Source organism: Homo sapiens, chromosome 9 (genome assembly GCF_000001405.40).
Source record: "Homo sapiens chromosome 9, GRCh38.p14 Primary Assembly".
Taxonomy (NCBI): domain Eukaryota; kingdom Metazoa; phylum Chordata; class Mammalia; order Primates; family Hominidae; genus Homo; species Homo sapiens.
In genome coordinates this window covers 1,936,284-1,964,188 of record NC_000009.12, presented here as the reverse complement: position 1 = coordinate 1,964,188, position 27,905 = coordinate 1,936,284, and the positions used below count along the sequence as shown (strand labels likewise).

The following is a 27,905-nucleotide window of genomic DNA, read 5'->3' as shown; positions in this document are numbered from 1 at the left end:
AATAAGGGAGATAGACTGTAAGGATTCCATATTATCCTAATCTTCAACTCTTCCTTTCAAAGCAACACCTTATCTACCAATCTATTCATCTCCATCTCTCTATGAGATCACATTTATGCATGATAAGAACAGGGATTCATTCTAGATTAAAAAGCAATCTTTGGTATTGCCATTTGCTGGTGGTAAGTGCTCAATAAATGCAGACCCTGTTGAGGATGGTTAATGCATAAGCTTTTTAGGGCACTGTAGGAAAGCAGACGGGTACTTTTCATGATTTCTCTGTACTTATCTGGGCAAAGAAGTAGGACAAATGTGTCCAGAAGAAAGCCACGAATTGAAGAGGTAGAGTTGAAGATTAAACATTTTTTTTTTTTTGGATTAGAAAAATCTACTATTCTGGGGTTAGATATTCCAGAGAGATTCCTTCAGCAAGCAGTTAAGATTAGATGTGGCCCAGTGGCTAGTGAAGTTCCACGGGAGTCCACAGGAAGGCCATGGATAAGCAGCGTGGAAAATGTTACTTCCAAATTTTATAGTTATTCCCCAAAGAGGGGCTCCAGCTCTAACATTTACCCTGTACCTTATAATAGCATTTGGGGAATCATGAAAAGCTTTTGGTGTCACTGTTTTAATTAAGAGTGAAAGTTCTACATGGGCCAGACATGCTGAGGCTCTGTCAGTAGTGGTCACTGGGGAGAAATGGAACGTCAGATAAATGTGGGCTTTTAGCTACTTATCACGGGGTCCTAGAACCCCTTGTTTAAAGCATGTTTTGAAAGAATACCTTCTCTAGCAAGAAAGTTGGCACAGTAAAATCGTGTTCTATCTACAGCTATATAATCTATATCTATATATATGTATCTATTACTTCTATGTTCATTGAAATTCTAGGAGACATAAAACAATTAAAGTGTATATTTTTTGATAAACATGGTGGTGAAATTGTATATACGATAAGCTAGACTTAAATCTTAAAATACGACTTATGATGGCACCTGTCACATCTGGATATTTAATTTCTAAGCTTCATCCTTGGCTACTTTGCTTATATGATATAATCGATATTGCAATCAGTGAGGTAATACAATGTACATATGATTATCCATTCTTTCAAGATTGTACAACCTACTGCCTTATTGACAAACTTTGAAAGTATACTTTTTTCAGGTTACTCTTTACTTCTCCCTACCTTTTGTGATAAACAAAACAGCCCTTTTTTCAAAACCCTAATTTATTATAAGACAGATTGCTGAGTGAGCAGATTCTGTAACCTAACTACATTCTTTCAGCTTTGGAGGGGATCCAGGGATATTTACTTTAAGTACAGTGCAATCTTACTATAATAAAATACTGTATGTGAAACATTTCCCAATAACTGCTTACATTAGGATGTTATGTAGTTAGCCATTACTGCCCTACCCAGGGTACACTATATCAGAGAAAACACTAAACTTTAACTATTTCCTCCTTTGGGAATCTGAGATCACTTTGCACAGATTAATATGTGAAATATTCTATGCTCTGTAAACATTATACTTGAATGCTGATTTTTGTATGATGCTCTTTGTAGCTAGCTATGTCCACAGAATCATGGATCCACAAATACAAGCATGTGATGAGTTCACATATATTTAGAGAACACTTCAGCATGCTAAGAACAAAACAAAACAAGCAAAAAAATACCCCAAACCAAAAAAACAAAACAAAGTAATTTATGTACAACTTCACATGGCCTACCAGTACCACATGCAGGAAATACCCCTAGAGCTGCGGACACTAGTGTGTTAATGTCTTTGATTACTTTCATATGGTATACTTGGAATTGTTAAAACACAGCTGCCACACATCAGAAGGTACTAGAAACAATCTGTTGGACAATACAGAAAAATGGCACTAAATGAACTTCAGAAATACCCCATGCTGGTTACTAGGGGAGGATTTACGTAAAAAAGGAAAAACAGCAGAAATTGTAAAAGTGCCAAGAACATCAGGAAATATCCCCAGAAGTCACTGGTCTTTTGTGCTCTTGAATGTCCTTTCAAACTGGAATAGTCACTCTGCTGTATTCCTAATGGAAAAAAGAAAAAGAAACCTCCTATTATTGATTAATATAATTTTGTTCCCTCCCTTGAGATAGTTTTGTTTGTTAAGAGCAAAATTTGACAGTTTGGAAGATTAATTATTATATAAAGACAGAAAAAATATCACCTAGCTGGAGCAAATCTCAAGGGGTGAATTGGTTTATGTCCCAGCTTTTAAGTACAGTGACACCTCATCTAGCACAGACAGTGCCTGTGCTATTCGTAAAGCTTTTCAATGAAGATGATTCAACAGTGTGTCTTAGAAGCACATTCGGTGTCAAACTAGCCACCTAAAAGGATTTGGAAAACATTAGCCATAATACCAGTGGGTATGCATAGTTTCTAAAATACTCAAGAGGGACGTGAATTCTAACTTGAAACAGCCCCCTGTTACAAACATTTTTTAGCAGGCACAATTTTGAGGATCAGAGTTTCCATAAAATATACAGAGTATTTTAGTGTTGCTAAAGTAGTAAAAAAGTTACCATCTATATTGCTGATAGGTCACAGGTTCTCATCAATAGTGTGTTGTTTTAACAGCACCAAGTTAGAAAAGGCAAAGTCAGAATGATAGAGACATACGATGTTCTAGCAAAATGAATGTTAAGGTATTGATATGTGAAAAGTGATAGTGTACAGAGATGTTAGAGACTTGAATTTGAAAACGATCTGTCAACACTGTAAACAAATCAAGATTACATACTAAATGTGAGGCAGAAGTTCTCCTGGTTCTCATTTACCTGGGAAATGAATAAGATAAAAAGTGCCGAGATACCATTTTTTATGTTGACCTATAATGAATAATTCTCCCAATTGCAGAGAAATTGACAATGAATGTTTGAAATTAATCAATTCACTAAATTCTTAAGGAGTACTTATTATGTGCCAGGCGTTAATATGCTAGGGAATACAACTGAGAACAAGATAAACAAATGTCCTGGGTATTTTGGTACTTACATTTTGTCAGACATAGATAGGCAATAGACGAGTAACTAAAAAAATCCCAAGTAATTTGAGCTAATGATAAGTGTCATTAAAAACATAAAACTATATAATGCGAGAGAGTGACTACAGTCAGAGAAAACCTCTCTGAAAAAGAGGCATTGAAGCTGAGATCTGAATGGTAAGAAGGAGCCAACCTTATAAAGCTTTGAGGAACATGATTCCACAGACAGAACCATAAGTGCAATGACCTCTAAGTAAGAGCAAGCTTGGCATGTGCAGGGGACAAATAAGGCCAGTGAGGCCTGAGCAGATGGGCAAGGAATCATGTACTTTTATTTAAGCAGTCTGTATATATTTTTAGATTTTACAGTTCGCGCCAAAAAATTTGAGCACTTTTAGAATATTGCAAACCATACTTGATTATAAGTTTTAGTTTTTACCTATTGTTCCAATAGTCAGAGAAAACATCTGTTTTATTCAGAAGTAAGACTATATAATCATTCATGTTTTGCTGGCTGTTGTCATGGAGTGCACATGCTGGATCCCAGTCCTGTACAAAATCACCACCTCTCCACCCCAGACATCTCTGGAAGTCCCAGGGGTAGCTCACATATGCTCACAAATAAATCCATCTCTTGCCATGTGGCTTTATGATTTCCCTTCTCATTCAGGCCAGACTGTTTCTACGTGTACTGCCCCATGTGCTGATTCCACCAAGTCCCCAGGCCTGGGATCGCCTCTGCCGAGGGTGTGACTCATTCCACTGTCTCGGAAAAAAGCTCTAGCACCTTCAAAGGGCACCAAAGACCTGCATCTCCACAAGCCCTTGAAGTGTCCAAATCGTAAAGGGTTTCTGAACAGTGGGAGAGAGTGCCCCCTTTTGTGACAGTGTTCTGTAGATGGGCTCAAAAGCATGGCTGCTCGTGACGACTATTTCACAGTTTAGTGACAGTCCTTGTGGGTCTTATTGACAATGCCACCCTGAGCCCCTCTATCCAGCCCTTAGGGTGCACACATCAGTGTGTGTGGTGCTCTAGGCAGAAAACAAAATGCGATGGGGTTCACCATCCTGCTCTCAGACTCATTCTTCTCCTTTAACAGGTAGGGTGCTTGGTGTTTAAGACTCTGCTCTCCTAAATAGATCTCTGTCTTCGAAGTCATGCAAATATAAATTTGACAAGCCCATTCTTTCCAATTTCTTCATATGTTCAGCCATGGCTGATTTTCGGTAGTGGACATGGCTTTCTCTCAGTGTGCTACCCCATGTGTCCATGTCAGCTCTCTCAAAGTCTCCATCTCCTTCTGGGTTCACCTGCCAGGATCATTGTTGTAGATATGTGGAGCCCAGCAATGTGTGAGGCTGCCCCTTGCTCATGTCCTTGGAGCAGCTTATGGCAACCAAGACACCAGTGGGTTTCCTAGCCATGATGGGATGACCTCCATTAATTCCAGGATCTTTTTCAGGCCGGCAATGACTTTTTTTCCAGGCATGGATATGATACTTCCTGGTTCTAAAAAGTTCTTTTCCAGGCCTTTTGTGTCCTTTACAGCAGCAGCTGTTTGGGGCTGCAAAACAATGCTATGCATATACTGCTGGGCCAGATGGAAGGGCTAATTCCCCAGGCTACTGCTCCAGCCCCACATTCTTTATGTTGCAGCTCAAGCTAAGCCTATGGCTCATACCTCCAAGAACACATTCTTCCTTGTTTACCCCTATTTCTTAACATTGGAATCATTCAATGAACTCCCACCTTTATAACATGTTACATTGGGCTGGACTACCCCCATGAAGTTGTGCATTTTGTGCAATGCACAAATGCACTGAGGAATTGAAGATCAGATGTTCCCTGCTTGCCAATCTGTACTCAGAGTAAGGGGCTGTCAGCCTGAGAAAGGTGTGTTTCCCTGCAATTTGGCCATGCAGAGGGGGTGTCTTTTTTGTCATTTTCACAATGACAGTTTGTTTGTCTTGACAGGTGTTGGAGGAGTGGTTTATTTCTCCATCCTACTTATCCTCTGAGAGCCAGCCTAGGATTTCCATTGTCTCTGTCCTCCCAAAAACCTCATTAATTCATGGGGTGAAGACAGACCATCCCTCTATTTTTTCCCACTCATATCTCCTAATAGAGCTTACCATTCAAACTCCCAGTGTGCCTCATGCTTCTAGTACCCTACGTGTTACCCAAATTCTCCAATGAAAGAGATCTTCACATTGGCATCTCAACTCACTAGAAAGTGGGCATTCTCAGGTCATGATAACTAGCGTGGTGAGCGTTTTCACATGTCTTCAGGGACTCCACTGAAGTTGCACAATGGCTTTCCTCTTCTTTGGAGAAGTAACCCAATGACCAGCACAACTCTTGAGCATCAGTCACTGCTTCTGTGGCATCAACTGACTAGCAGTTTGGCAATTAGGGTGCAAATGTGCTCTTGGCTTTGCTTTAAGGATCTGCATCAGGAATTTTCCAACATGAGAGGAAAAGAATGCAACCCTTTTTTTTTTGTAAGCTCTTGTCACTACCTACTAATGCAAAACTCTAGGCCTCTGCAAATTCTCCCCCTTCCCTGAAGTTTCTCAGAATCCTTAAGTAGTACATTCGATGAATACAGAAACAAGTCAGGTTAGTTACTATGCATCATTTTTGCTTTTGTTCTTCGGATTCAGCTCCCTCTGCCCTGTGCTTGGTGTGTGGAACCACAGCTGATGTCTATTTCTAACTCCCACTAGATATGGATGCATCTGCCCAGCCACCTTTCCAAGAAGACTGCAGTGTCTGATGGGCCCAGCTGCTGCTTTGGCGGGCTCCTGTCCCCCCAGCTCCCATGCCACCAATGCCCAGGCACCCATGAGATGCCACAGCTGTTCAGAATCCCATTGTGAAACAGGGGCCATGCTTATCTTCTCCTTAGCCTTCTTTTACTGCAGAGGGTTCTCAAAGCAATACTGCATGTGCTTTAAAATCATAGAATGCATCTCCTGAGTAGCTATATCTATTTTTACTTATAGCACCTCAAATCTACTCAGGACTCAGACATAGGGTGGGGGACTAGGCTAGGAGCTAATCCAAGTGACAGATGCTCTGATGTATTAATAATCACCCCTCCCTGGCTCCGTTCCTGACCGAGCTTGTGCTTGGTTCTCTTTTCCATTAGGATGATATCTGCTTGGGAAACTCCTTAGCTCATCACACAAATCCACCTATGGCAGGCCTATCTTGCCAGGTTACCAGATTCACAAAACTCCTTCCTTTCCCATCCTGTATGTAGACTTTCCAAGGGTGATTAGGTCATAATTTATTTCTATTTGCTGTCACTCTGTTCAGTTGTTTTATGAGATAATTTGAAACATTCAACCACTTTGGTAATGTCTTGTGACAAAATACACTAAGGAGAGATTCAATCAGTAATTCTTTTCCACACCCTATTAATGTAGCAATGTTTCAAAAGGTTGTAATTAGGATTAATTTGCTTGGCAGTTCCTGAGGTCATCATGAATCAAATATGTGGAGTAAAGCATACTTCTTCATTTGTATTCAAGAATATATGTACTGGTTGAGACAGTAAAACATCTGAATTTAAATAGAAGTCGAAATTGTTTCAAAAAAGCTTAACCTCCATCATTAGATGAATGTACTGCTATTCTTGGTTGGGTATTTTGTACAGGTGTGTACATGTGGGTTTACAATTACAAGCTTCAGAGGCCTCCTCTCCCCATCCTGAGAAATGCAATGCGAGATTTTCTCAGAAGAAGGTTAGCAGTAAGACTGTTAAATAGAGGAGGTGATACGTAAAGGTTTCAATGCTTATGCTACTGATGAGCAAATTGAATGGATTGATAAGTAGGTAACTCAATATTAGTGCAATGGTTCCCAATTTTTTAAAGTATCTTTTAACCAAACCTAACATTGTTGCATATTTGAGCAAATTTTAAAGTTTTACTTTCAATTTGCATAGCATATGCCCAAGTGGCATGTTGGTAAATATTTAACAACTGGCTCTCTGGGAAGGCAGGAAGCGGAAGGGGGAAACACCTTGATTTGTAGTGTTTGCCTATTTCATTGGTGTAAATACACCTATCATCTGTGATTTCAAGCTGCCAATGTGATGCCACTGTGCAGGGTGTTGGGAAGAAACATGCAGTAGCACATTATTATATAGTATTTAAATCATACAAATATAGTAGATAAAGTAACCTCAGAAGCAGAGATAAAAGTAAAGTGTGGTAAACTACAAGGAAGTGATGAGTTCTGAGTATTTGTTACTTTTATTGCTAGTATAAGTTGTGACCTGATATGATTTAATTTTTTTGATTCTTAATTGACACATAATAATGGTCAATATTTGTGGGATACAGTGTAATATTTTGATACATGTATACAATGTGTAATAATCAAATCAGGGTAATTAGCATATCCATTCTCAAACACTGATCGTTTCGTTGCAGAAAGAACATTCAAAATCCTCTCTTCCAGTTATTTGAAAATATATAATAGATTATTGTTAACTATATTCACACTACAATGCAATAGAACACCAAAACTTATCTTCCCTGTCTAACCATAAAATACTACCCATTGACCAACCTCTCTCCATCTCCTCTTGCCCCTACCTTCCCCAGCCTCTGCCAACCACTATTCTACTCCCTACTTCTATAACTTTTTAAATATTCCACGAGTGAGATCTCGCAGTATCTGTCCTTCTGCATCTGGCTTATTTCACTAATGTAATGTCCTCCAGCTTCATCCATGTTGTCACAAATGATAGGATTTTATTGATTTATCATTGCTGAATAGTATTGCATTGTATATACATATACCACATTTTAAAATCCATTCATCCATTGATGGACATTTCGTTTGTTTCCATATATTGGCTATTGTGAATAGTGCTGCAATAAACATGGACGTGCAGATATCTCTTTGACATACTGATTTCATTTTCTTTAGATATATACCCAGTAGTGGGATTGCTGGATCATATGGTAGTTCTATTTTTAATTTTTTGAAGAACCTCCAAACTGTTGATCATAATGGCTGTACTAATTTACCTTCCCACCAATAGTGAATAAGAGTTCCCCCTCCTCCACATCCTTGCCAGCATTTGTTATATTTTGTCTTTTTGATAATAGCCATTCTAACTGGGGTGGGTTGGTATCTCATTGTGGTTTTGATTTGTATTCCATGATGGTTAGTGATATTGAACATTTTTTCATGAACCTGTCGGCATTTGTATGTCTTCTTTATAGAAGTGTCTATTCAGGTCTTTTGCTCATTTTTCAATCAAATTTTTTTAAATTTATTTTTCAGTTTTTGCTATTGAGTTGTTTGAGTTCCATATATATTCTGGAAATTAACCCTTTGTCAGATCTGTAGTTTGCAAATATCTCCCATTCTATAGGTTGCCTCTTTGCTGTGTTGATTGTTTCCTTTGCTATGCAGAAGCTTTTAAATTTGATATAGTCTCATTTGTGTAATTTTGCTTTTTTTTGCAAAAACAAAAGCAAAATTTTGAGGTCCTATCCAAAAAAATCCTTGCCTAGACCAATGCCATGCAGCATTTTCCCTATGTTTTCTTCTAATAGTTTCATAGTTTTGGGTCTTACATTTAAGTCTTTAATTCATTTTGAGTTTTTTTTTATATGTTGAGAGATAAGGGTCGAGTTTCATTCTTCTGCATGTGGATATCCCATTTTCCCAACACCGTTTATTGAAGACAGTGTCCTTTCCTCAATGTTTGTTCTTGGTGCCTTTGTCAAAGATCAGTTGGCTATAAATGTGTGGATTTATTTCTGGCTTCTCTTTTCTGTTCCATTGGTCTGTTTGCCTGTTTTTATTGCAGTATCATGTTGCTTTAGTTACCATAGCTTTGTGATATATTTTGAAGTCAGGTAGTGGGATGCTTCCAGCTTTGTTCTTTTTGCTAAAGATTGCTTGCTTTCGCTCTTTGGGGTCTTTTGGTGGTTCCATACAAATTTGAGAAATTTTTCTATTTCTGTGAAGAATGCCACTGGTATTTGGGTAGGTATTGCATTGATCTATAGATTGCTTTGGGTAGCATAAACACTTTAACAATATTAATTATTCAAATCTATGAAATTTACATCTTTCCATCTGTTTGTATTTTCTTCAATTTATCAATGTTTTATAATTTTCATTGTAGAAATCTCTCACCTCCTTTGTAAAATTTATTCCTAGGTATTTAATTTTTTGTAGCTATTGTAAATGGGATAGTATTCTTGATTAATTTTTTTCAGATAGTTCACTTTTAGTATATAGAAACACCATTGGTTTTCTGTAGGTTGATTTTGTATCCTAGAATTTTACTGAATTCATTTACTAGTTGTAATAGTTTTTTGGTGGAGTCTTTAGGGTTTTTCATGTAAAAGATTATGTCATCTACAAAGAGGGACTGTTTGACTTCCTTCTTTCCAATTTAAACACCATTTATTGCAATCTTTTGCTCAATTGCTCTGGCTAGGACTTCTAGTACTACGTTGAATAGAAGTGGTGAAAGTGGGCAACTTTTTTCTTGTTTCAGATCTTTGAAGAAAAGCTTTCAACTTTTCCCCATTCAATATAATGTTAGTTGTGGGTTTGTCATATATGGCCTTTATTATGTTGAGGTAGGTTCCTTCTATTTAATTTTAATGATGGTGGTGTTATCAAGCAGTTCACAAAGTTCCTGAAGTTTAATAATCAACTCTCACGAGCTTGTGTAAGCCAACTCCAGGACACCACTGCTCATGCCCAATCTCAGGACAGGTAAGATACCACTTTGGAAACTGAGTTAGACTTCAGATCCTAGAGGGCAACAGAGAACGTCTTCTATGTCTTTCCACTATTAACACTGGCAAACACAGGTACTCCATAATTTAAGGACTGTGTTGGAGGGACCTTTTGGTATGGTAGAATCTTCATTAATTAGGATCCTTAAAAACAACCTCACAGTTAACTAGGCTTTATTTTTTAGAAAGAATAACTTGGCTTGATTTAGTGTTGATTTAGTGTTTACCCAAAAAGATTTCTAAGTCAATATGCTCCTTCATTAAAAAAAAAAAATCTGTATTGTAAAAAAGCCTTGGAGGTAAACATTATCCATCTTCTATGTACCATAAAAAGACAAACAAACAAAAATACAAATGAAGGTAAAAGAGCAAGCCTCATTAAAGGAAAATGCCTGGATCTCATGTTCTACAGCAGCAACCCTGCCTTGTCCTGGCTGGGCTGGGAATGGTCCTGTTCTTCAGTGGCCTTTCTTGAGTTTGCCTGCAGACATGATGGGGCTGGCACCAGGGGCTCTACACAAACTGATGTGCAAGTGCTCAGCCTTGGCAATCACATCTCTTCCCTCAGGAATTTGAAGTATGGGAAAGAAAGAAACTGTCCGGTTCGTGATAGGAGCTGAAATTGAAACAAGGTCATGAGGCAGCTGGGCCATGGAAGTTATAAGTGGAAAGCAGGAACAAGAAGAAAACAAGAGGAATATGCAGGTGCATCATAAGAGGGGAAAATGAGCAGCTGCTTCCCAGCCAGGCTAAATCCTTGTCGGCTGGCCAGGTCCAGAACCCATATAATCCTTTTAATAAACCAAGGTAAAAATTAAGAACAAATGAAAGAATATGTTACATAGTGTGCATTGCATTATGAGTAGAATAATAATTGTTTATGAAGAGGTACTGAATTTAGTCCTAACATTAAGTTTTTGGTGGGGTTTATTATGTAGATCCTTATAAACACTGAACAGAAGAATGGACAAATGTTTTCAATGAGAACTTTATAAATGAGACAGAACAATGCTTTCCATAGCCATTTTTGGATTAAGCCTTAATTGTAATAGTTTCATATGGTTAAATAATTCAGAGAAGACATTTTATTGAGATTTAAGTATTCATGGCTCCGTTATGTAGTTTTGAAAAAATTTGACCTAAAATAAAAGTTAGAGAATCTTTGAGTATCCTTCAAACATTAGTAATCAAGGGCAGATGTGTGACAAAATTATAATAAGTCAGATTTCTGATTTTCTACATCTTCTACAGCTCCAGCTAGCATTCTGTGCAGTTACTGTTGATTTTCCTAGTGATAACCCAGGCAAGGTACTACCTTCAAAGAAAACTGCAAAATAGTAACATTCTCATACATTTCTGTAATACGCAAGGGCCTTTGTTTACTGTCTCATATGGAACCTCTTAATTCAGAGCTAGACAGGTGTTACAATCCCCATTTTTCAAATGAGAAAACAGGGTCATCGAGAGTGAGTGTCCAACCTTTTATTACACAACCGGAGAATATGGAAGCTGGGACTTAAACAGAAATAATAAAAATGTTGGTTAAGATTTACTGAGCTCTCACCATCTGCCAGATACTGAAATAAACATGTATTATCCCCATTTTATACATGAGAAAACTGAGAACACTCCTAACCGAAGTTGCTATCAATAATGAGGTAAAGTGAAAAATGCTGAATTTGAAATGTATAGGTGGTTTGGGGAGCTTTGAGCGAGTTAGCAGCTGACAGTGGGGGCAAGGTTGAAGAGTAAGGGAAGCTATCTGTACAGTGCCCACGGGTAGAAGATCAAGAGAAGTCAGTTCAGGTAAGGACGGGAAGTCATAGGAATACATTAACCAGAGGCAGGGCAATTAGGAAAAACCTGACAATGGGAAACTGCTATAAGAGGGAATTTCTCTGGACTGAAAAACTAATTCAGAAAAAGGAGAATTGCTAAAATGGTACTGGATAAAAGACAGGGAGGAAAAATTCAGCAAACCGGCTATGATGAGGCTAATACATGGATGATGCCTTTGTTAAAAAATGGAGAAGTAATCCTGATTTTCCAGAAAAGACAGGCTCTCCCCTAGGGCTGTCAAGAAATGAACCAGATTCCAGGCCAAGTAGAGGACAAGGAGGAAGAATTCATTATGGAATCTGACAGATATATTGAGGAACAATGAATATTCACCTTGGCTATCAAATTTTCCATTTGTTTACAGCTTACACCCTCGAGACCTCCTTACACTACAGGATTTCAGCCTCAGGCTCTAAATAATTGTAATTGTGGAAAATTCCCTTGCATAGCGGTATTGCAGTGCCTTCTCTTTTGGGATACCTGAACTGTTTTCATACTCCTCTAAATCAAAAACACAATGATAAGATTGCTTTCTGAAGCGCTTGGGCAAGCAAGCATTTATTGTAATTGAAGACGTCCTGGGGCTTCACAAAGGGAGAGTTTGGAATCACTTTGTAATGTCTCTGAAACCCACCCATATCCTTCCACCCCCCACTGCTATGATCTTTAAGCCCGTTAGACCCACATATTCTTTGGTCTGAGTTACTTCGATGGCCATTATACACAGAGTTCTGCAGGATTCCTGCCTCCTCCCTCTTCTTGTTGGCTCTGCTGTGTCTCCTTCTTCCTCAGGGCCTCAGTCACATGGAAGGATTCCTACAATCATATTCCCAGCCCAGATCTCCTGCCTGACCTCCAGGTGCACTTCACATCTGTCCACTGACCACATTTGCTTGCATAACCCATTGGCACCTGAAACAGAATCAATATGCCTAAAAGAGGACTATCATTTTCCCCTCACCAAACCAGGTACTCAAATGTCTGAGATCTGTGCCACTGCCTTTTCATTAGCCTAAGCCAGAGATCTTGAGCGTCTGCTTCCAGTCTTTCCTCTCCCTCACTGGTACAACCACCTGGTATAACTGGACTTTATCTCTCCAGGCCAGTCCTGTTCACACTAATGCACTCTAATGGCAATGAGAATGAGCTTTCTAAAATGCAGATCTGATCACGCCATTCCTCCAGTGTAAACATCTCTTAATGGCTTCCTACGCTTTCAGGATAAAATAACCCCTTCAAGTGATACTAGAGGTCTTTGCCCATTCCGCTCCTACCACTCCCTCTCACAGTTTAACTTCCTTTCACAGTGCCATACCCTCAGTTTCTTCTGTGTGTGTTGCTGTTTTCTGCTCCTACTGTTCCTGTCATGTATCACCTTTGACTTCTTTAACTCATTTTATCTTTCAAGTCCCAGCCTAGATGTTGCCTCCTCCTGAAGCCTTCCTTGACTGTAGAGTCTGGGTTAGACATTCCTCCTATGATGACATCCCCGTGAAGACAGAGTCTTTTTTCTCCTCCTACACTAGGCTGTAAACTTCTTAAGGGCAGGTACCTGTTTATTCCCAATTGTATCATAGTGCTTAGTACAGTATCTGACACAGGGTTGATATTCGTACTGTTTACACTAGGCACAGTATGTATCCAAAATACCGACCAATAGGTTGAATAATAATGACATCCATATAAATTCAATGAGTAAACGAAGACTTATTTTAGGTTTCCCAAACGAATTCAACTAATATGACGGCAGTTGAGAATTGTTGCATATCTTCTTGTAATCTCTTGTCCCAGAGGCATTTTAATGGAAATTTGAGTCATTCTTTTCAAATTCACTTCCATTTACTTTAAAAATGACTTCAACACCTGTCTCATTCTCTCTTTCCCTACCGTTTTTAGGAGATTTCACATTTATCTTAATAACTTCATTTTCACTCAGCCTCAACCACACCAGCTGGCCATATCAGAGACAACACAGTTACACAAACCTTTGCCTGTTTGAGATCTGAAACTCTGACCTTCCCCCTTGGAAACTCCACATCCCTTTCTTCCATTGTCTCATCACCAGAGTTCATATGTCAAGTGCCTCTGGCTCCTTGAAGGTGTAGATCTGGGGGATCCAGATCACCTGTTGTGTCCTTTTAGCCACCCCCACCCCCGGCCCCCCCAGCATAAACCTCATGGCCAGCCATTTCAATGATGTGTTTGCTCTCATATCTAAATCCCTCATTCTCTTTGCATTTAACCATTCATCAGTTATGAACGACTTCCAAGAGGGCTTTCTCTTCTCACATTCTTTCACTGCTGAAAGCTGCTGAAGGAAATAATAAAAATGCGCTGATTAGGTCAGTTAAGGTTTTGTGCAAGCTCACCAGCTGAACCTTAGCAGAACCGAATACAATAAAAAAAGACTTTCTTTTATTCATCCTGTTGTTTACACCCTACGACCCTCCGCACTGTTTCAAACCTTCTCCCCTCCTTAAATCCCTGGCAGAGGACTTTCCTTACTTCATTAGAAAATCTTTCTCACAGTACCATTGGAGTCATTGGGCTAGATTTTCACCTATTCACCTTCTATTCTAAAATCCTGCTATTAGAAGAAGCAATGCCCTGGGAAGGGAGGTTCCAGGCGGCAGGTTTCCACCTGCTTTGTTTGCTGAAGCCAACAAACAGAAAGAGCACTGCTTTCCTGGAAATGAGAAAAAAGGGCAGAGATGGAGAGTGAAAACAAGGAAAATAGGGAGAGAATTCAAAGTGGAAAAATGTTGAATTCAGAGAGTGGCCATCAAATGCGCTCACTTTCTCCAAAGCAGTTTGTTTACTAGAAAGATCCATGGAGTGGGCCATTTCATTTCTTTTGGCCTCCATTTCCTTCTCATCCAAATGAAAGAGTTGAATGTAATATGTCCTCTAGCACTGATGTCCGAAGATTCAACGAGGCTTTCTGAGTGCCACAAAGGCCCTCAATCATGCTGTGCGGGTAGTGACACAAAAATGTTGGGAAATGTATAGGGGAATTTGTGTTGATACAATGACAGGGAGCTCCCTTGGCATTTAGCGAATGAGAACTGATGTATTAAGCCATTCTTGCATTGCTATAAAGAAATACTGGAGACTCAGTAATTTATAAAGAAAAGAGATTTAATTGGCTCATGGTTCTGCAGTCTGCACAAGCATAGCCCCACCATCTGCTTGGCTTCTGGGGAGGGCCTTAGGAAGCTTGCAATCATTGTGGAAGGTGAAGGGGGAGCAGCCTGTCACATGGTGAAAGCAAGAGTAAGAGAAAGGGAGAGAGTAAATGACCAGATCTCAGGAGAATTCACCGTCACGAAGACAGCACCAAGCTGTGACGGATCCGGCCTTGTGATCCAAACACCTCCTCCCAGGTCCAGCAATGGGGATTACAGTTCAACATGAGATTTGGGTGGGAACAGATCTCTAAACTATATCAACTGACATTGTGCAGAATCAAATTCCACAATAAAGCATTGTCCCACCCAGAATGCTGATGGGACTCCCTCCATACCACACTGCTGCAACCACACTGCAGAAGTTCTGAAAACAGGAACCATTTATTTTACTCTTTAAATCCCAAGGCAGTGATTCCCAGGACCAGCTAAGTTTATAGTAGGTGCTCAATATACTTGTGAAATAAATTCTGTGTCCCCACAAAGCTGTATGTAATGTGAATTTTTGTAACTCTATGATGATTTTCCATCGACATACATTTTAATCTCAGAGGCGCTTTATCTTCACTTCTGATTGACTTTTAATTGGCAGTGACTCCTAACACTGAGAGAGCTCAGTTATTAAAATGGAACCCTGCAGGGAATCCATTTGTAAAGCGATAAATCCTTTTATAGTGTGAATAATCACCCATTAATTGATCTGGTTTGTAAATTTGAATTTTCGTATGCTGCAATTTTTTTTTTCTTAAATGTGGGCACAGCCATGGTCTCCTCATTATAATATTATAGTTCAAGAAGGGTCTAACATATATGACAGTTTTGCTATTTTACAATTGAGTCCTTTTTAGTAACTTCTAGGCTTTCCCTTCTATTACTTCCTTTTACAGGACATTTTGAACAATTCTATTCAAATAATGATTTATTGCTTGCAAAACTATTGGTCTCATCACTTAGTTTTAAATCACAATAGAGGAACTATTTGTCTCTGGGGATCTCTGGGCCACTAACAGATTTTAAAATTATATGCACTCCTGAAGAGTTTTCTTTCTGTAGTCTACCTTTCAGCATTTATGAAACTGAGCCACAGAGTGGTCAGTGGAACATTGCTAAGTGTCTGTGGCTGAGATGACAGCAGAATTCTGATCACCTCACCTCTCATTAAAGACCTGCCTCTTGACTAAAGAGTATTTTCTTCGTTTTATAGAAATGTATTTAGAATGCTTCCTGTGACTGACAAGAAACCATTATGAGAAATGGTCACTTGAGTGAGTCGCCTGGGAGCATGTTACAGGTGTCTGTCTCTATGGCTGATGCTGACAAATTCCATCCCTACCTATTTTCTGGAAACGAACTCTGTTACATTAGGTTTCCATCGGTAAACCCACGCTTGATAATACTCCGTCCTGCTGCTTTGGGTATTATAACAGTTCATGCAGAAAGTACTGGATTAGCCTCATCACAGATGATGATGGGGGATAGAAATGTGCATGGAATATTATTACCAATAATTATGGAGGGAACATTTAGCCTGTTGTTCAACTCACAATGCCCATAGTGTAGGTTATAACAAAAGGAATCGCAAATGGTCTGAAGATACCTGTTTCTGAAGCAATAGTACCATAGGGGTCTTGAGTAATGTTAGTTAATGTTTAGCATAACTACGGGAGGGTGTTTCTATTTAAGGTTGCTATGGTACATTTTTTTTCCACTTCCATTTCAGCTTTTTCCCCGCCCCTTTCAGATTGACAGGGGCATCATTCTCTATAATATATTTTCCTTCTATTATTCTGTCCTTGGACTTATTAATCCATCATTTTCTTTGGCCCTGCTTTTCAAATGTTAGATATGAGCTGTGATATTTGTCTTGGCTAGCAAAATAAACGGGATGTGAAGATTCACTCAGAATGCATCTTTCTTATGTTCTTTTATGTCTCCAAGAGAAACCTCAGAGACATGCTTCCTCCTGACTTCATTCCCCTCTGACTAACCCCCTCCCATTTCATGTTTCCCCTTTATCTATAGATAACATAGCATGATCCTGAAAGCTGGTTAATTATTTCTCTGTCCAGATGGGTGGGGGAAGCCAGGAAGGGAACACAGAGGTTTATCAGAAAAACATAAGTGGTGCTGCATCAGCACAGAAGCCTCTCTACCTAAAGAGAGTGGGTTACAAGCTAGAAAGAGACAATAACATTAAAAGCAATATTTCTGTCATGAGGCCTTCTCAGAGCTGTGAAACTAACCTGCTTGTATTTTTTTCTACAGCCCATAAAAGGGCTCACAGCCAGAAAATACAAATCCCATAGGCTGCTATTATGCTGATGACAGTGAAGAAAGGAGGAAAATTGTTTCATTGCTGAATTGCAGATATAATTATGACATTTTATATATTTTGCAGTCTGTACCAAAGAGTTGTATTAATATCTACTATACCCTATAGCAGGAGAGAAGTTAGCACCTTAATGCTGGGGATTCAGACTCTGATTTTGCTGAGATTGAATCCCCCTGGCTATTTACTAATATAAATTTTGTGGTTAAAGGAAAACTCAGAAGCAGGTGATAATGGCTGCATCTTTCGCGGGACCAGCTGATTCATACAAATCATTTGTACAGTGCAGGGAGTGAAGCTAATTGCACTTGCACAATGTGTCTTTCATTGCCAAGATCTGCAGCAAAAGTCTAACTGCTTACTTCAGCCAAAGACGGATACAATGGGGCGTTGAGAAAAATTTAAATACGTAGCCATAGTTCACAGGAGAAATGTTTGGGAATTGATTTGCGGGGCTTGCAAATCAATACAATTATGACGAAGAAGCTGAAACTCCTGTTAGTGAAGTAACCTGGCAGTCAAGTATTTGTGGATTGAAGGGATGATTAAAAAGAGAGAGAAAAAAGTCCATCATTACTTTCAAATGTAGCTCAGGCCACAAAGCAGGGGTTGGTGATCCAGTCCACACTTTGTATTAAGAATTAAGTATTTCTGGTGAACAGTGAGCCAATAAGTAAACAAACAACATTTTGGGAGATGCAGAATAGACAGGGAAATAAAATGTATAGTAATGAAATATTCATAACCTTGCATTTTATGGACCTCAAACACTAGTTCCGTGATTTACCCTATTTCTGTATGCAGTAGTATGCGATCTGGCGAACAATAATAAAGATGGCATTAGAATGCTACTGCCTCAGTGTCATGGAGAAGGGAGGATTAATCAGTACTGTACGATAGCTGTAAACTTGAGTAAATAGAAGCACATATAGGTAGTTGCTTTCCTGCACACTTTATGTTTGGCCCATGGAAATGGGGGAGATGAGAAATAAAGTAATTATGAAAATGATGAGCATCAGCACCCAGCTTCACATAAATAAACACATCATTCTCTCAGGTCCTGGTTGCTCAGGGGTGCTGGTTCACACCAGCTGCTCCCAAGAGAATGTAGTGGTCATTATTTCACATCAAGAGTCATCTTTGCAGAGCTCTTGGCCCACTTTACCCCTAAATTCAAAATACTGTACTCTGTACCTAGTAGTCTCCTTACATAGGAAATAGTGGCCCAGTGTCTGTCTGGCTTTTGGCCTCACCCACTGTCAGAGGTCTGATCAGAAGGGACATGGAAATGCTGAATAAAACCTGGGAGGAAAAGACAGTCATACCATCTTGCTTCAAAGAATATCTCATGCATTCCTGCTTCATACCTGTCCCTTCATTTTTGAGCCAACCTCAAATTGCTGGTATTTACTATTTGTCCCAGATTTCATAGGCATAGTTGGCCTTTAGCCTGACCAGCGCTTCTGCCATGGTGTCTTCCTCCTTAGCAGGTCTGGTTTTGCTCCCATTTTGACTGAGGAGCTGTATATCACACTTGTTTGGTGCTGATAGTGCCCTTTGCTGAGATGAAACTATAGTAACAGGGCAATGCTCCATGAAAACTACTACATTATCTTTGCAATTTTCCTGTGTCTTGCAGACTTGTAAGTACTCTGCCAATCACTGGGTTCCTATTCTCCACACCCCCACTCCTTTTATAAATGAACAAAATTGCTTAACCATTAACATGCCTCTGAAGTATAAGCCTAGTACTCAGAATTGATCAGCTAAACTTCCCATGGGGCAAGCTTAAATGATTTTCATTAAAATTCTAGCATTGATCTTTTGATATTTACCTTGTCATGGTAAGTCACCATCTCTTCCATTTTCCTTAACAAGACAACACAGTAAGCCAAATATTCTTCAGTTATGTATTAATATTTTGAGGAGTATGACTTAGCATGCCTTTATTTCTTAACTAGACTTATGAGATACACTTACTGCTTCAGGACTGAAAGCGCACTTAAAAACCTTTCAAATGTGCAAATTATCTATTCCAGAGAGAACCAGAAATTATACCCCTATGGGTGACAAATATGCATAATCAATAGATTAACTGTAAGCCTTGGGGAATAAGTTGTTTTATGACCCTTGCTAATTCTCTATTTTCATCACTCAAAACTGGAAGTATAGTGATGAGCACAGAGTAGCAATAATAGGTTCTCGGTAAATGTTGAAGTGGATGAATGAATTCCATGGTCTTGGTGAATTTTTTTTTACCCCAAGACATGATGAGGTTGGATGTCGTGTTCTTACAGAGAAATCAATCCAAGATGGGATATATTATCAAGAGTGAGTTAAAGGACACTTAAATTAATTAAAACAAAGTATTTAATTGGCTTTTCCATATGCATACCTTGTCCCAGGATATATTTCCTTTTTCTATTCTTGTGTCTTCCTCTTCAAAGTTCTGGTAGATATTTTTACTTGGAATCTTCAAGTATACTCTTCTCTACCATCTATCATGGAAAATAGGGTTGCAGGCAGAACCGGGGCAGCATTTGCTCAATTCTAATTTCTGAATTTTCCTATATCATATGTGTGTGTGTGTATATATATATATTATATATATACACATATATATTATATATATACATATATATTATATATATATTATATACACATATATAATATACATACATATATATTATATATACATATATAATATATATACATACATATATATTATATATACATATATATAATATATATACATACATATATATTATATATACATATATATTATATATATACATATATATTACATATATTTTATATATACATGTATATCTGATGTGACACAAAAGAATAAGCAAGGCAGTAAACTGAAGTTCTGTGAAGCAATTGCCTGATTTTATTCTAAGCTTTAAAAGAAGATAAACTTATAATATTTTGGTCCAGAGGATTCCAATGAATTGACAGCGTTCAATGATTAAAAATGGTGAAGGGTAAATAAATCATTAAAAGTAATGACAGAAAACATCGCCTACCTTGGGAAACAAATGATGTGAGTCATCTCGTTACTTATGAAAAGCAACCCATTAGTGAATCATGAGTATCATCTGAGACACAGACTCTTCATTTGGGCTGCAGAATTGGTTCTAAACTCATCAAATTAGACGGATGCTCCCAGCCACACAATTCTGTCAACTTGTTCATTCAGGGCTTTTATGCTCCCTGTGAATATTGTCTAAAACAGTCCTTAAAAGGGCCGTACAGGTACTTTATTTCCAGAACGGTAATAATAGTAGGTCCCTAAATGAAGTTTTAGAGATACTAAGTTGCAAACTCTACCCTTTTCTTTTCTTTCACCTCCCACTGGCAACCTTATAAATGTTTCACTCCATAACATTTTGGTCTAAGTTGGATAAAACATACCTTCCTAGGGTTCTCTATTTGCTAATAGAAAAGGAGCCGAGTGTTGCCACTGAACTTGCTGGGAAGTGCTTTGACTTCAGGTGAGCTCACAATCAGCTTAGCACCGCAGTGCTGTGATTTGGGTCATAATTAAAAGATTTTACTATAGAAAATGACCGTGCTGTTTGCACATTCCTTTCATGTCCTTCAGGAAGAATGACATCAAGCACTTACTTGCCTTTTATATACTTTTTTTAAGGTAGCATAGTGAAATAGGAAAAGCCAAGGTTGTAAAAAATAGACCTAGCTCCAAATCCTGGCATTGGCAATTAGGAACTTTGTGAACTGGGCAAATTACTTAACATCGTTGAGCTCTGGTTTCTTCAAGTGTGCAATGCACCAATAACACCAGCCTTGCAAGATTCTTATATGGATTAAATTAAATTAAATATTTAAAGCATTTGGTATTTTGTAGGCATTTATTAAATGTTGTTTATCATCGTTATACCTTCTATTATCTCTTTCTAAATTTCTATTTCCTCCAATAGTATGCTCCTCTGTGAAATTGTGTGATTATGTCAGGTTCTAAACAATTTGATAAAAGCTTATAAGAGTTAATGAGCTCAGTGAGCTCATTTTTTTTTTTTTTTTTTTTTTTTGAGACAGAGTCTTGCTCCGTTACCTAGGGTGGAGTGCAGTGGCGCTATCTCTTCTCACTGCAACTTCCATCTCCTGGGTTCAAGCTATCCTCCTGCCTCAGCCTTCCAAGTAGCTGGGAATCACAGGCGCCCACCACCACGGCCGGCGAATTTTTGTATTTTTAATAGAGATGGGGTTTCGCCATATTAGTCAGGCTGGTCTCAAACTTCTGACCTCAGGGGATCCACCCACCTTGGCCTCCCAAAGTGTTGGGATTACAGGCGTGAGCCACCGCATCCAGCCTCATTTTTCTTTCAATCATGGAATGCTGAAAGGATTCCCCCTCCATGAAGAATTTCCTATTTTTCTATGGGAAATTCTCCCCATGAGCTATTCTAGCACTTTGCTTTCATATCTGTTTTATTAATAATTTAAGTATACATTGTGTTATAGTCTGTGGATTACATGACTGTCTCTGATATATTAGAAGTTCCTTGAGGAAGGCCCAAATTTATTTTTGCCATAGACAATAACACCATGTTTGGGGTCCCCAATATATATATTGACTTGGATAAAGAATGCAATAAGGTACTCTCAAGGACTTGGAAAAGGAAAGAAAATTCATTGTAATTCACTCTCCAGTTTTGCTCTGCAATGGCACGTAGCTCATTTGGAGAATTGACCCAAAGATACATTATTCATTGTGCATTCAAGAAAGAGAAAATAATTCCTATCCTTCTTTTTACATCAGGAGGCACTTAAAAGAAATTATCTGAATTATGGTACTTGCCCACCTCCCTAAGGATGCCAGAGGGAATGCGCTTTCCAATTCCTCCTTTTCCACCCTAAATGCCACCTTCAGTGTCACCAAGAAAAAAGAAAAGCCAACCAGGGGTTCTACATCTAATTATACTTTTTACTAGATTCATACACGGTCTTTGAAGGGATGGCAAGGAAAAGCAATGGATGTCACAAACTATGATGAAGATATGATATGGTCAGAATTTATTATTCCTGAGACCTTTTTAAAAGACAATGTGACACTGTAGCAATACTCTTTGTAGGGGAAGAAAATGATTGCAGTTTTTGCTTCTGGTAGAACTGAGAATCAAGGCTCTCTTACTATTAATTTTTCCTTATCTCCTTCCTTATAGGTATAGGATCAGACTCTAGGTATAGCAAGCTTCTAACATTGTGGGAGCTTTGGGCAACTAGTTCATTCATTTGACACACCTTTAACCAACAAATAGGGTCCTCATAGCAGAGTTCCTAACAGCACCAGCCCTCGTGCCCTGGCCTCTGGTCTAAGTTTTGCCTCCGCCACTTACTAGCTGGATTACCTGGGGGAAAATTTTCTCACTTGTGCCTAGTTTTCTCATTTGTAGAATGAGTCAGAAAGTTGACAGAACACACTTCACAGGGTTGTTGTGAGGATTGAGTGTGTTATGAGAGGCAAAGGATATTGATCAATGTCCTGGCACATAGCAAACACAACACATTTAGCTAAAAAGCAATACAAAAAACTCATTTGCAGCTACCTCCTATGTGCTAGATACATATAGCTATGTGATGGGCATTACATGAATGGGATGGTTGCTGCTCTTGAAGAAGACGTATTCTAGCAGGAAGAACAATATGTAGCAAACAATTATGATGTAGTATGGCGTGTATTTACAGAGTGTTGAACAATCATTTTTGGGGGGATAAAAGTTTGGGGCAGCGAGGGTGATAAATGTGATGGGTGTCTAAAGAGTGGTCAGTGTTTTCCATGCACTGAATGGGGCAGAGGACAAGCCTGGATGGATGAAGGGATGAAGCATATTCTGAAATTCCGTCAGAGCAGCTGCTGTAACACGGCTTGAGTGGAGAAGGTATATGGCTAGGGCGGCAGTGGAGGATGAGGCTGGAAAGGTTGGGAGGGGGATAGACAGTGAGGCCCATGTATGTCATGCGAGAGTTTATTCTTCTTTTTTTTTTTTTTTTTTTTTTTTTTTTTTTTTTCTGAGACGGAGTCTGGCTCTGTCGCCCAGGCTGGAGTGCAGTGGCGGGATCTCGGCTCCCTGCAAGCTCCGCCTCCCGGGTTCACGCCATTCTCCTGCCTCAGCCTCCCAAGTAGCTGGGACTACAGGCGCCCGCCACCACGCCCGGCTAATTTTTTGTATTTTTTAGTAGAGACGGGGTTTCACCGTTTTAGCCAGGATGGTCTCGATCTCCTGACCTCGTGATCCGCCCGCCTCGGCCTCCCAAAGTGCTGGGATCACAGGCGTGAGCCACCGCGCCCGGCCGAGAGTTTATTCTTTATTCCAAAAGTGACGGACTTCCCCAAGAGGCTTCAAAGCTGGGGGGGGTGTTACGATCATATAATTGAGCACTCAGTGCTTATTACATTCATGTTGCATTTAAGCACTCAGGGAGAAATCATAACTAAATGTTATAACTAACACAAACATGGTGAGTTTGCAATCAAATTCCCTTTGCACTAATGAGAACTACTCTGTTGCCTTGTGCCTGTCTCTTTAACTCCCTGAATTTCATTTTCATCAAGGTTGTTAGGAGGTTTGAATGAGATAATATACGTATAGCACTTTGAGAAAGGTAAAAGAACATGGAAACATGCTGTCGTTATTGGTAAGTCCGCTTTAAAGACTGGAGAAACAAAGAAGGCATCAATTGAATTGAATTGAATGGCACGGCCTCTCCTACCGGTCTACCCATAGAGGGCAGCATCCTTCAAAGGACTGATGGGGCCAGGGCTGCACACCTGCCAGCAGAAGAGAAAATGAGGGCAGCTGGGGAGGCAAGATTTTTTCTCACATGAGTTTCTTCGTCTTAAGTTGGAGATGACACCTACCTTGTAGATGCTGCGACTGGGATTGGAGGTGATCTATATGGGAGGCAGTATACGACAATGGTGAAGGGAGTCTTTAGAGTCAAACACATAGGTTTGACCCCTAACTTATTCATCGAATGTCCTTGAGCAGGTTAGCTCATTTAAGTCTCAATTGGCTTATCTGTAAAATGGAGAAAATAATAAGGCCTATTTTATAGAACTGTTGTCAAGATTAAATGTGATAACAAAGTGAAGTGTTTAGCGTAGTGCCTAGTTCACAATAACTATCCACTACATTTATTTGCCATCTCTATGTAGAAAATTTAAAAACCATGATTAAAATTGCTTTCTAATTAGATACTACCATCCTCAGCTAGTAAAAGGCTTACTTGGATTTTAAACTAAAATATATGCAGCTTCAAAGCTTCCATTTTTTCCCCTATATCATGCTGCCGGTCCTGATATGTCATAGATCCCAACACAAAAGCTCAGCTCTGGTATAAAAATGAGGAATTGAAAGTGAGTACAGATGATATTTCTAGATTGTCAAGTTTTGCAAAATGTGTAAAAGAAAACAAGCAGTATCAAGACCTGAAGGTGAGTTGCATATTTAAGATTCTTTCTTTTTAATAATCTAAGCTGTTATTAGCAGTGGATGAGAAAACATTAATTTAAAAAATCTGTATATGATTTCTTTCCTTGATGCATTTTTTACTCCTAATGCAATGTACATAGTATAAATAAGTAATGTAATCAAGTTTATCTTTGGAAGAAAAAGTTAATAATCCTACTAGAGAGTTGGAAATAAATGATGCTCTTATTGCATTTATTACAAATCACACAAAGCAAATCACCCCAACCTGAAACTGTGTATTGCTGGAATATGTTGAATCCCTTTGTCACCCTCCTTACGTTCCCAGTTGCCTCTGGATCCAGGCAGAGAAACTGCATGGAACCGTTCAAGGGCCAGCAGGAACCCCTATGTCCACCTTGTGACTTCCAAAGACACCAGGCCCCAGGCATTCGTGGACTTGCATTTAGGGAGGTGGAGATCTCAGGAGGCTGTGCTCAGCATTCAGGGGCCAGAATGGACTGTACTACTCAGAATAGTGACAACAAATGCTTGACAAACAGATCCACATAAAGTGATGATAAAAGGAAGCACACTGGGTTTGTGAGACTTCAAAGTGAGTGAACTGTATGTGAGAAAGGGGAACAGAGACAGTCAGACACCAAGCAGATAGTGGACAGAAATACATTACAGGAATGAGCAGAGAGGAAAGGAGGCAAGGTGGATCCCCGGGGTGGGGGTGGGGAGGGGCCTCACCTGGGTCCTGCTGTTTGGAGAGTTTCTGTAGGTCATGATCAGATTCATGTGAAATGTAGCATAGGGAACTCTGATGACACATTCACAGTCTTTACTCCCTGGACATGTTATCATATTATATGCCTCTTGCTTTCCACATGATGGCTCTAAGATTGATAATCTAGGGAACCTGGAGGGCCCCTTTATCTCTGAGGTCAGTGTCCAAGTGGCTTGTCACCACTTCTCATTCTGAATGAAGGCTAAGCTCTTCCCATGGGCTTCCCGTGGGCTCTGAGTTTCTTTTCCTCCTGTCTTCTCTTTTCACTCATTATCTTGCCTTCCTGTGTACGTTCAATATCTGCTACTCTATTGGTATTTTCTCCTTAGCCTTTAAACACAAGCAAGTCTCTCCAACAAAAACAAGACAAACAAAACCAAAACACCTTCCTTGAAGTCCACCCCACACACTCCTACACACTCCCTTTCTGAGAAGTCTTCTGAGACACACACTTCCCTGTCCCCTGGAGACCTCCCTTGCCTCCAGTGGAGGTAATGGCCTCTGCCTGTGTCCCTCAGCACTCTGTGCATGTGTTCTTCTACCACAGCACTTTCACATGCCATCATCATGGGTTGTCTTCTTCCCTCTCCCTCAGTGGCCCATGTGTGACTTCAGGAATGGGGATCTATCTTTCTTCTCTATTCCTGTTGCTAGCTCACTGGAGCTAGGAACAAGTTTAATGTGCTAAAAGTTTTGTTGCACCCTGTTGTATTAGTCAGGATTTTCAAGAGAAATGGAACCAACAGAAGATAGATGATGATTGACAAGGGGAGGGGGAAAGAGATTTAGTATGAGAAAATGGATCACATGATTATGGAAGCTTAGCAGTCCCAAGATCTGCAGTTGGCAAGCTGGAGATCCAGGAGAAATGATATATAGTTCTGGTCCAAGTCCAATTTCAAAGGTGGAAGAAGACCAACGTCCTCCGTCCAAAGACAGTCAGGCAGAGACAGAATTCTTTTCTACTCAGCTTTTGTTCCATTCAGGCCTTCAACGGATGGGATGAGATCCATCCAAATTGGGGAGGGCAATCTGTTTTTTCAGCCTATTGATTCAAATGTTAATCTCATGCAGAAACGGCATCATGGACACACTCAGAATAAAGTTTAGCCAAATATCTGGGCACCACATGGCCCAGTCAAGTGGATACATAAGGTTAACCATCATGCTTGTACATCATATTTTTTGATTTTCATTGCAGTTTCTATCTCTTTTGGCAACATGTTAGCTCCATAGCCTTCAGAGGTCCCTCCCTTATCCAATTTCCTTCAATCCTTAATGCCTACACTATATAATATATATAGTACATATATATAGTATAATATATAGTATATATATAGTAAAATATATAGTATATATACTATATATAATATATATAGTATATACTATATATTATATACTATATATACTATATATGGTATATACTATATATAGTATATACCATATATAGTATATATAGTATATACCATATATAGTATATAATATATAGTATATAATACTATGTATAGTATATATAGTATATATATTATATATTATATACTTATATAATAATATTTAATATTATATTTATTATATATAATTAAATATACAATAATTATATATTATAAATATATGTAATATTTGTTATATATATTTATATTATAATTATAAATATATACTATATTATATATAGTATATATAGTATATATTATATATAGTATAAATAGTATTATATATTATATATATATAATACTATATACTATATACTATATATACAATAAATAATATATATACACTATATATACACTATATATATACACTATATATACTATATATACACCATATATAGTATATAATATATATAGTGTATATATATTATATAGTATATATATATAAAGTATATATAGTATATAGTATATATATATATATAAAATATATAGTGTAATTATAGCTCTCTTCTATTGTTCTGTGGTCCATGACCAAGCATAATACTTTTCAAAAATTGTAAGTTCATGCAAGGCAGCAGCCAGGCTGGGGGAGGGACGCCTGCCATTGCTGAGGCTTGCTTGAGTAGGTAAACAAAGCGGCCTGGAAGCTTGAACTGGGTGGAGCCCACTGCAGCTCAAGGAGGCCTGCTTGCCTCTGTAGACTCCACCTCTGGGGGCAGGGCATAGCCAAACAAAAGGCAGCAGAAACCTCTGCAGACTTAAATGTCCCTGTCTGACAGCTTTGAAGAGCATAGTGGTCCTCCCAGCACAGAGTTTGAGATCTGAGAATGGACAGATTGCCTCCTCAAGTGGGTCCCTGACCCCCGAGTAGCCTAACTGGGAGGCACCCCCTAGTAGGGTCAGACTGACACCTCACACAGAGGGGTACCCCTCTGAGACAAAACTTCCAGAGGAACAATCAGGCAGCAACATTTGCTGTTCAGCAATGTTCGCTGTTCTGCAGCCTCCGCTGCTGATACCCAGGCAAAAAGTGTCTGGAATGGACCTCCAGCAAACTCCAACAAACCTGCAGCTGAGGGTCCTGAC

The 27,905-nt window shown here is 39.0% G+C and overlaps 1 long non-coding RNA gene across 1 annotated transcript in view; it reads right to left on the bottom strand.

The window, feature by feature from the left end:
* Positions 1 to 1,491: 1,491 nt before the first annotated feature.
* The window catches only part of LOC105375951 (uncharacterized), a 261,361-nt gene continuing 234,947 nt past the window's right edge, over positions 1,492 to 27,905 (bottom strand). The window contains exon 3 of the long non-coding RNA XR_001746599.1: positions 1,492 to 2,068. This is a non-coding gene — a long non-coding RNA (uncharacterized LOC105375951). The remainder of the gene's footprint in view (positions 2,069 to 27,905) is intronic.